We start from the raw sequence: 10,890 nt of genomic DNA, 5'->3' as shown, positions 1-10,890 counted from the left end.
ACCAGGCGATCTTTAACGACAGGACTTTGAGATTTACAGCTTGAGCTTCGAAGTGGAACGTCAGCGGTGTAACAAGTCAGGAAAAGAATCCTCACACCTCATTTCTTCATTCAAATGAATTCAACAAATATTTCTTAAGCATATAGTCAGAGCCAGGCAGGTACACCTTAGAAGGCCACACAGACGTGGAAACTAATTATTGTAATACAGGTAGTAAAAGTTTTATTGAGAATCTGCAGAAAGCATCTCAGTAACATACAGTGTAGAATTATCAACTCTGCCTCGGGAGGAGGGGTGTGGAAGGTGTTTGTGTCGGTAGAATTGCAGATAACTGAGCCTCTTCTAGCAAGTTGAAACAGGAATTTAATGTGGGGAGTTAGGTGTTTATGAAATTGTTGGAAGGGCTGGAGGAGCAGGCTCTAGGCAGTGTTTCCAGGAATAAGTCTCAGAAAAACATCACAGAGCTGGCCCACTGAGAAAGTTGCTACCTTCAGTGATAAGAAAGTCAAAGATTCTGGACAATTTTAAAAAAGAAATAATACTTCTCCTGGCCAGGCACGGTGGCTCAGGCCTGTAATCCCAGCACTTTGGGAGGCCAAGGCGGGTGGATTGCTTGAGCTCTGGAGTTCGAGACCAGCCTGGGCAACATGGTGAAACCCCATCTCCACAAAAAATACAAAAAACTAGCTGGGTGTGATGGCACATGACTGTAGTCCTGGGAGGCTGAGGTGGGAGAGTTCCTTGAGCCTGGGAGGTGGAGGTTGCAGTGAGCCATGATTATACCACTGCACTCTAGCCTGGGCAACAGAGTGAGACTGTCTCACAAAAAAAAAAAATTACTCCTCCTATCTTTGATGGTGAATCCTCTGACCACATCTCCCCATTCCTCTCTCTCCTAACTACCCAAGTCTCTGGTAACCACCATTCTGCTGTCTCCTGCTATGAGAGCAGCTTTCTAAAATGCCACATGTGAGTGAGAACATGTGGTATTTGTCTTTCTGTGTCTGGCTTATTTTACTTAACATAATGCCTCCAGGTTTACCTATGATGTCACAAATGACAGGATTTTATCTTCTTTTATGGCTGAATAGTACTTTATATGGTTTGGCTCTGTGTCCCCACCCAAATCTCATCTTGAATTGTACTCCCATAATTCCCACATGTTGTGGGAGGGACCCAGTGGGAGATAATTTGAATCATGGGAGTGGTTTCCCCCATACTGTTCTCGTAGTAGGGAATAAGTCTCACGAGATCTGATGGTTTTATCAGGGGTTTCTGCTTTTGCATCTTTCTCATTTTCTCTTGCTGCCGCTATGTAGGAAGTGCCTTTTGTCTCCCGGCATGATTCTGAGGCCTCCCCAGCCATGTGGAGCTGTAAGTCCAATTAAACCTCTTTTTCTTCCCAGTCTTGGGTATGTCTTTATCAGCAGCATGAAAATAGACTAATAAGGTACTCCACTGTGTACATATGCCACATTTTCTTTAATCATTCATCCATCGATGGACAGGATAATTCCAGAGCAGGCAAACATACAGAAACAAGTGATTCCCCTGGATGGGGGTAAGGCAGAGGAAATGGGGGAGTGGAGAAATGGGGATTGACTGCTGATGACTATGGCGTTTTCTTATTGGATGTTGAAAATATTCTAAAATTGATTGTGGTGATGGTTGCACAGCTCTGCAAACATACCTCAATAAAGCTGTTTTAAAAAAAGGGGGGATTCAAAGAACCAGTGGACAACAGGATCCCGTTGCCTCATCTGGGATGCATGCTGACACAATGGCTAACCGTCACACAGCCCTTTTGATGCCCAGGAAGCTAGAGCCTGGGCACTCCAGCTGGTGCTGGGTTAGCCAGCAAGAGCAGGCCTAGCCTCAGTTCCGTCTGTCAGAGTGCTGGGTCTGTTTGGTGGAAATGAGTCTCACGTGGAACCCAAGTTGAGAGGAAATCTGAAAAATGTGGCGGCCCATGTCAGAATTTCTGACTTACCCTGCAGTAAGTCCTGCTACAAGAAAGCAGGGTGGAAGGGAGGGAGTCAGTCTCCAATTTCTGTTTTCAAGGCTTCATGGAGAAAGAGCTGCTTCACCTGGGCTTGAAAGATGAATAAGGATCCACAGGACAAAGCAGGGTGGGCAAAGAGGGTAGTTTGAGCAGGGGTGGCTGTGCTATTGCCTACTGCATACTGCCAGGGTACGGAGCTGTGAGAATTCATGTCCAGGTCACACGGATCAAAGTCATTAGAAATAACATTAGCACACCAGCCTGACCAACATGGTGAAACCCAGTCTCTACTAAAAATACAAAAATTAGCCGGGCGTGGTGGCACGTGCCTGCAATTCCAGCTACTCAGGAAGCTGAGGCAGGAGAATCGTTTGAACCTGGGAGGCGGAGGTTGCAGTGAGTCAAGATCGCACCATTACACTCCAGCCTGGATGACAGAGCGAGATTCTGTCTCAAAAAGAAAAAAGAAATAACATTAGCACAAGATGTAAACTATGAGCAGCAAGGACGGAGGCGGGAGAGGCACACAGGGGTTTTGGATTTCTGACTTAAGCTGTAAGTAGTAGGAAGCCACAGAAAGGTTTTAAGGTGTGTGTGTGTGTGTGTTTGTGTGTGTGTGTGTGTTTTTGTGTATGTGTGTGTGTAATGGGGACGGGTTAATTTTCCTTGACTGCTGGGGATGTTACGACCATGGTGTGCTGTGAAATGTTTAACAACTGGCTCTCCAGAGGGAAGGAAAAAACGCCCTGATTTGTCAGATATGCCAATTCCTGTGTTGTAAATACTCCCAACATATCCCGTTTCAGCCTTTCTCCATGACATCACTGAATGTGGAGTTGGGACGAGATGCATACAGTTGGCTCTTTGAAGCTGGCACCAGTGCTTCTATACAGTAAGTCCTCCCTTAATGTCCTCAATGGGTTACCGGAAACTGCAATTTTGAGTGAAGTGATGTATAATGACGCCAATTTTACCATAGCCTAACTGATAGAAGCAAGAGTTACGTTCCTATGGTATACTTCTGGTCACAAAAGCATCACTAAACTTCTAGATAAAGACCCAAGTGCTTCTAATCTTACCCATGAAAAATACGTGTGAGCTATACATACATTGAAGAAATATTGATGAAAACAAGAAAATAATTTATCCATAATTTGGTGAATCAGTGAATAACGGCAGTGAGTTAAATCAAGGAGTAAATGTTTACAAAGTGAAATTGTAAGGAGCACCTCCCACCATCATGCGGTTCAAAAACAATCACAGATATCGCAGGCTCACTGAGCATTCTTGTACCGCATCGTTTACTGTGCATTTGTATGATTATTGTTTACATATTTGTATTTTAGATTATTTTGTATGCGTTTTTCCACTCATTTTTCTTTTTTTCTTTTTTTTTTTTTTTTTTGTCAGGGTCTTGCTCTGTCACCCAGGCTGGATTGTAGTAGCAAGATCTTGGCTCACTCCAAACTCTGCCTCCTGGGTTCAAGTGATTCTTGTGCCTCAGCTTCCTGAGTAGCTGGGATTACAGGTGTGCACCACCACACCTGGCTAATTTTTGTATTTTTATTAGAGATGGGGTTTTGCCATGTTGGCCAGGCTGGTCCTGAACTCCTGGCCTCATGTGATCTGCCCACCTTGGCCTCCCAAAGTGCTGGGATGATAGACGTGAGCCACCGTGCCTTGCCTCCACTCACTTTTCAACCCACTTATATCAGTTCAGGGTCATGGGTGGCTGAGCCTATACGGGCAGCTCAGGGCACAAGGCAGGAACCAGCCCCGGACAGGATGCCCTTCCACTGAAGGGAGGACTCACGCTCACACCCACACTCATTCACACTTGGACTATTTAGGCCTGCTGTTTAACTGAACAGTTACATCTATGGGATGTGGGAAGAAACTGGCGTATCCGGAGCAATCCCATGCAGACGTGGGGAGAGCATGCAAACTCCACACACACAGTGGCCCCGGCCAGGAATCAATTTTTTTTTTCCTAATTAATGTTATAATGATACAACATTGAGTGAAATGAGGTTATTTGAGGGCCTGCTGTCTGTCATGTGACTTAATTCTGAAACCAACCCTATAAGGTGAATAGCAGTTCTACTTCACTAATGATGCTAGACGGATAAATAAGTATTTTATTCAAGGTTATGCAACCAATCAGTAGTTGAACTTTGTTTTAAATCGATGCCTACCTGTTTTCAAAGCCAACATTTTTTTTCAAGAAGACATGCTGCCTCTAGAAGAGTAATATCATCAGATCTCTACTTCAGAAAAATTCCTAGGCAGCAATATAGAGCAGGGATCGATGCTGTTGTGAAAGAGCTCTAGAGCGTCATGTAAATGAATGGGTGTGTATGTGTTCCAATATAACTTTATTTCCAGAAGCAAGGAGCAGGGCTGTATAGCACAGAGGTGGATTGAAGGGAACAAGGCCTGAGGTGGGGGGCGATCACATCGAAGGCTATTGAAGGGGCTGGGTGAGAAGTGATGAGGCTGAGCCCAGGCATGTCACGGTATCAGGAAACATAAACATATTTGATGGAATTGCAGGACACAATGTTGGCCTTCCATCTCATTATATGGGAATGTGTAGGAGGAAGGGGCAGAATTTTAAATGGGAAATCCAGGATAATTTCCAAGTTTCCAGTTTTTAGCTGTGAACTTGGTTCACATTTTGGCCAGGACAGAATTGTGAGGAGGAGGTTTCTTTGGAGAAAGCTTGTTTTCAGTGTGGGCATGTTATGTTTAAAGGCTTTGCAGGACATCCAAATGGGAATGGGTAGTGGAAAAGCAGAAATGCATGAGCTCAGGGCACAGAGCTGAGCTGGAGCAGTCAGTAGAGAGGCGGTGGCCGAAACCTTGGCTGTGGATGGGCTTACCAGGAGTATGGGGAGGTCTGAGACTAGGCCAAGGGAATAAAGGAGCTGGGGGTTGACAGGGACGGTCTCAAGGAGAACTTTCTAGGGATGAGTGATTCCAGCACCAGAAAGTGGTTGCCAGTTTTAGATGTTGTCCTGAATGCTGTGACAGGCTGCTCAGATGCCACATTAAGAAGGAGCTCTTTTCCAGCTGTTTTGAATACCATCCAAAGATGGGCCCCAGCTGTCGGCTTTCTTTGGGTTTGCCTCAACTGAAGAAAACTGCCGAACCCTAGCTAGATCTTTCTTTCCAGAGGTAACCTGTATTTACCAATCAATGGTGGCATAAAGGCTCAGCTCCCTTGTCCCAACTGGGGACAGCTCTGAAGAGCCATTGTTGCTCCCACTGTGGGGTGGCTGAGGCCTAAGCTGGGAGTGCACTACGGCTCAGCTTCTCCCTCTGCCCAGGCCTGTTTCCCTCCCTTTTTAAGGTATTGAAACCCAAGTGCACACCTCAGTACACATTGGCTTGAGAATCTCCATCTCAGCATCTGTTTCTTGGGGGGCCCAGCGTGTGACTGATGCTCTTGTTCCTTGCCCTCTTGCTGTTTGGAACGTTGCTATTCAACTACTGAATGTTGCTATTCCAGGGTGAGTAGGCCCAGACCCACTTGTTGATTCATCAGATCCGATCCTGAAACAAGCTTGTCCAACCCACAGCCCAGGTTGGCTTTGAATGTTACCCAAAACAAATTCATAAACTTTCTTAAAACATTGAGGGATTTTTTGCAGCTTTTTTTTTTTTTTTTTTTTAGCTCATCAGCTGTCATTGGTGTTAGTGTATTTTATGTGTGGCCCAAGAAAATTCTTCCAAGGTGGCCCAGGGAAGCCAAAAGATTGGACAACCCCATCCTAAAGCAATCCAAGACTCTGACGTCTTAATGACTGAATAAAGCTTTATTTTAATGTAAAATATGAAAAGAAAAATTTATATACTCATATATAACAACTTCCAAAATGTTTTCTGTGGTACAAATGGATCATCTTAAAAAGTCTGTAAAGAATTCATCCTCCACCCCCATATGCCAAAATATGATTTCACATAATTTATCTTCAGAACTTATGAACAGACTTGGAATCACAAAAGCACAGGAAACACCAGAAAAAGTGATGGTACAAACAACAGGTTTTGTTTTAGGTTCCAGTAGTAAGCAGCCCTACAGATGGAACAGGAGAACACTTTCTGAAGGAGCCCAGTCAGGAGACAGGTTAGAAGAGTCTTTGGGGTTGGTTCATTTCCTGTAGCCAAGCTTGTCTTTAAAAGTCAGGCTGTGTGTGATTCTGTGACTATTTAAGGACATGAGGGAGAAAAGAGTTTCACTTAGAAGTCACAGCTGTGTGTGAGATTCTAGGCTTATTTTAGATATCTAACTTTTTTTTCCCTCCTTTTTATCAGAAAGGTGACTTTGTAGGGATACCTTAAGGCGACTCCTCTTTCTGGTCTCGCTGTGGCATCGTTTCCAGCTAAGTTGGCAGGAACTGGGAGTGCTGAGAAATACTTCTGTGGCTGTTTCTGAGTCCAAATCCCTCCTGCCTAATTGCACTAAGACCAGTCTTTCTGTTGCTCGTAGACTCAGAAAGCAGTAGGGTGTTCTCCCAATTTAACACCAATTTGAAGGCCATTGATTGTAGGTTTCAGAGTTTAATGCCAAAGGGAATTGTACAGACACACATTCAGACCAAACTCTTTAGATCTCTCGACCCTCCTGAAATGCTACAATGTTCCTCCAAAGAAAACGAATGCAGTGGTTACAGGTTTGGGGAAATAATTACTTTTTTATAGGCTTGATATTTGTGCATACCAGGGAAAAGAGAAATGAGCTTTATGAGCCTCCTAACATTGTTAGGTGGCTTTTCTTCAGAAGATCACTTTAGCTCAAGAATTTTATGAATCTTTGGAGGGGACAATGAGTCATGTTTTAATTTGATTGACTTGGTGGAAAACTATAGCTACAGTGAAGCCTCTGTTCTTCCCCATCAGGATCCACGGGTGACAGTCGGTCTCAGAACCCCTACTATGCTCTTAAGATCTTTACTTGGTGCCATCCTGTGGGAGTCAACACATATATATCTACAGATCTAAGAATAATGAGCTTCAGAATAATTGTTTTTTCAATTTTTGTTTGCTATTAGGTTATGATTTAGGAAAATGTTCCTGTTTCTGAGCTTGTATTTCATCCACTGATTTGATATTGTTAGGAAACGGTATTATGGCAAGGGTGAGAGTGCCACAACCCGATGGCATAATGGATTCTGGGGAGGCTGTGTTTCTCTCCCTTGTGGAAGTCTCAATTCTCCTGCATCTAAAAGTTTTCAATGGTCTGTCCTCTTTCATCTCTCTACTCCTGCAAAAAGGGAGAAAAATAGGGCTTCTTAAAATATCTAGTGACTTGAGGGCAAACATCATTTCACGGCCTTCATGACCCAGCAGTCAGATCTGCAGCCAAGTGGATGTATGTTGATTGGGTTTGGAGCTCAATGTGCCACTCTCTTCCAGGGGGGCTATTAGTGTTCTGAGCTACAAGGAGACACCGGATTGAGTTTTCCCAAGGCCATAAATAAATTGGGAGCTATTTCCTGCTCCCAGGCACATTACTGATTATAGCCTGGTCTTCTAAATACTCTAAAAGCCTGTTCCCCTAAATGCTGGGAAAGAGTCCTGTAACCTCTGGGTGGTAACAATTGAAGGGTGAGTACACGGGCATTTATAAATCTTACACTTGAGCTGTTAATTGTTGCTTGGCTTGATGGAGCCTCTGTCTGTCACAAATATAATGTTAGCTTCTTTCAGGCAGGATCAAATGGAGCGTGTGTTATACTTCAAGCAAGGAAAGAAAACTGTTGCAATCTAGTTTTTGTTCACTTTAATAGTACCTTCACATCACTGGCTGCCATTCAGGATTAGCAACTATTTTATTGACTTTGTATGCAACACAAAACCCAGCTTTGGAGCAGTTTACCCTGAGCCTGTGTGCAGGAGGTATTGCACACTCTGGTGGCAACGCTGCAGGTGAAAACATGGGCACTCTTCCTGTAAAGGCCACTCCTTCAAGACACAGGATTCTCACCTGACACCATCACCCCTGGCTGCCCCTCAAGTGGCCTAGGCTTAATCCAGAAGGAATGTTCTGGCTTGGCTATGTTTAGTAGTCTACAGTAGTTTGGTTAAAATATGGAACATAGTGAAGAGCTGCTGGTTTTTAATGCTTCAAAACAAGTTACACGTCCCTCGTGTTATCATTTTCCTTAAGGTGTATTCAACTCGAGGGGAAGGTAGCATTCAGCAGGTCAGCAGGGAAACCGGTAGCTCCCCTGCACTCCACCTCACGTGAGCAGGGCCTGAGATCCTCAACCACTTCGAACAAATTGCAAACACTCTAAAGGTGCCTGGCTTAAGAGAGATGACAGAACAGAGACAAAAAACTTGATAGTCTGTTTTCAACAGGGCCATAGTAAAGTGTAGTTAAGAAAATAATATCACAAAGTCCAGTAAATAACACTATTTACATCTAAAACTAGCAGTTGCATCCTTCTTGGTAGCAGAATACTATTTTAAATTAAAAAGATAAGAGTAAGCTGGGGTAGAGGGATGTCCTATGTATTCAATAATACTATAATTTATTAAATCCTGTGAGTCAGAGGTATGCTAATCTCAGCCAAAATAGACCTAAATTAAACTCAAGACTTTTTTTTTTGGAGGGAATAAAGAAGGAATGTGAAAAGGCTTAAAGCATTTCAAATGTCAGTGCCTGGTTCAAACCAGTGCTCAGGTTTTGCTGTCTTCCACATCTTTTGCTTGTGTTCTCATTTGGGCCAGCTTGTATGTTTTAGAGGTTTTAGTTTCCATAGAAAATTACTGCAAAGCTCAGAAAACATTGTGATCTACTTAGAGGTTGGGGTTTCAGCTTTTTAAAGCCATAACACTGTCCTTTGCCAATTGGAGGCCTTGGCCCTGCCCTGACCTGACTTTAGCTAATGAAATATAGCAAATGCAGATGGATTTAGCCTTAGCGCCTTTTCTCCGTTTCCCCCACTTTTGCATCAAACTCTCCAGAAAGCATTATTAATCTTTCATTCTCCATACTGGCAATCATATGTGTTCGAACACACACATACACACACACACACATACTCTCTCTCTCTCTCTCTCTCATTCACTTCCATCTAATACCTGCTGGTCATCAGAGGCCATGGTCAGCTCCTCGCTGTCCCCGAGTGCAGATGGTTACTGCTTGGCACTGAGTCTGGACTTGGCATTTCCCAGGGCACTGCCTCCTGTGAGACCTCCCCAGTAGGCCCTCTTTCCCAACTACATTTTAGCCCTCAAGTGGGAACCTTAGAGACCCCAGTTAAAGTAATTATAGGCAGGAGATTTGGGGCTGACTCTGAAACCAGATATCTCCATGCCTGGAATGTGGGAGGGAGGAAGGTGAGGGCCGTGGGATGTTGAACCCTCTTAACCTGATCACCTTAGTCCTCGGAAGATATTCCTTCTGGAAGCTCTGACCAGCTGTGCACATCCTCCCGGGACTAATACTGCATTTTACCGACTTTCATATCAAAAGTGAGGAAACATGAAATGTTTACATCCAATGAGTGGTATCAGAAACCTGATAAATTCTACAAATAAATGCAGTCTTTCTCTCGGTACAAAATATTTCAAGATCACTAGTCATGTTTGCTGTTGTTTTTTTTCTTAGTCAAAAAACCTATACTCACTTCAGATGCCTCTATCTCTGTCTGCTCTGCCACACCTTAGACTTAACAGCTCTAAGAAGGGGGCTGAGGCTCCACCTCGGAGCGGGTAATGCTGCCTGGCAGAGACTGCCTCTGGACCGCCAGTCTCAGAGGGGGATGTCCACGTGTCTGCACATCAGCACAGGTTATCTAGCCAGAGAGGATCCCCAGAGTAGAGTTCCATAATTAGTTGTTTGTGTGTTCCGTTGCCACTCTCACTGATTTGAACAACTCTGAAAGCGTTTCAACTATCAGGTAGTTTTGTTTTTATAGCCCCATCTTTCGTCTTCCTTCTGATTTTTTTTCCTCCCCAATTCCCTTCCCCTTCTTTTTCTCTCTGATTAGCAGTCATGCGTTACAATGTCAGTGAGAAAAAGCTTATCAGTAACATGGAGAATTCCTAACACCAAGGAGGTCTTCAGGTTTAGAAAGGGCAAAGGTAGAGTAGACACCTTCCTTTCTGGACCGGGCTGGCCTCGGTGGCACTCAGCTATACGGCTGCAGTCATGGGGTTCTTCTGCCGGGAATCCTGGGTTCGGTAAGGGTACTGGTCTGGGCTGCCCCCACGGGGCCCTGGTCTGCCTGTTTCCTGATAGGCTGGCATTCTTTGGTGCTGGGGAGGGGAAGGCGGAACGTCTTGTCGAAAGGGTCCTTTGTGCTGGGGAGCTGGCGGGGGTGGGTAGTGCTGAGGATACCGGAGATCTGCCACCCTGAGCTCTGTGGGGCGGGGATAGCTCCCTTTGGGAGGGTGCATAGGATGAGCCCCTGGATAATAGGGAAGCTCCCTTTCCTTGTAGAGCCCCCGAGGTGCTGCTGGCAGATAGTCTACAGGATCTGCGGGTCCTCCCCTGGAAAGAGAAGAAGAGACACATGTTAGCAGCTCCTAAGCTGGCCGTCCGGCTGGAGAACATGTTCCTCAGCCTCCTGTGCAGTTTGGTGTGGCCACCGCATAGGTCTGGCCAATGGGATGGGAGCAGAAGTGATACGTGCCCTTAAAAAGAAGAGAAGGGAACTTCTTCCCTTCTCTCCTTCCTGTTGGCCAGCAGAAAAACCATCTTAGGCCACAAGGTGAAAACCACGTGCTATGGGAGGCAGAGCAACAAGAAGGTGAGAGCCTGGGTCCCCGTTGCCATGGAGCCACCATGTCAATCAGGATTGCTTCCATTCACATTGGTGCATGAGAGGAAAATACACTTCAATCTGGTTTATACCCTTTTCTGTTGGCCTTTA

At 44.8% G+C, this 10,890-nt stretch overlaps 1 protein-coding gene across 15 annotated transcripts in view; it reads right to left on the bottom strand.

The window, feature by feature from the left end:
- Nucleotides 1–5,801: 5,801 nt before the first annotated feature.
- The window catches only part of PARD3B (par-3 family cell polarity regulator beta), a 1,074,688-nt gene continuing 1,069,599 nt past the window's right edge, over nucleotides 5,802–10,890 (bottom strand). For all 15 annotated transcript variants that reach the window (XM_047443208.1, NM_001302769.2, NM_205863.4 and 12 more), the window contains one exon: nucleotides 5,802–10,508. In XM_047443208.1, the coding sequence (XP_047299164.1) occupies nucleotides 10,151–10,508 (358 nt within the window). In that variant the 3' untranslated portion in view covers nucleotides 5,802–10,150. The remainder of the gene's footprint in view (nucleotides 10,509–10,890) is intronic.

Source organism: Homo sapiens, chromosome 2 (genome assembly GCF_000001405.40).
Source record: "Homo sapiens chromosome 2, GRCh38.p14 Primary Assembly".
Taxonomy (NCBI): Eukaryota; Metazoa; Chordata; class Mammalia; order Primates; family Hominidae; genus Homo; species Homo sapiens.
Note: the sequence above shows the minus strand (reverse complement) of the source record. Positions and strands in the feature narration are given on the sequence as shown.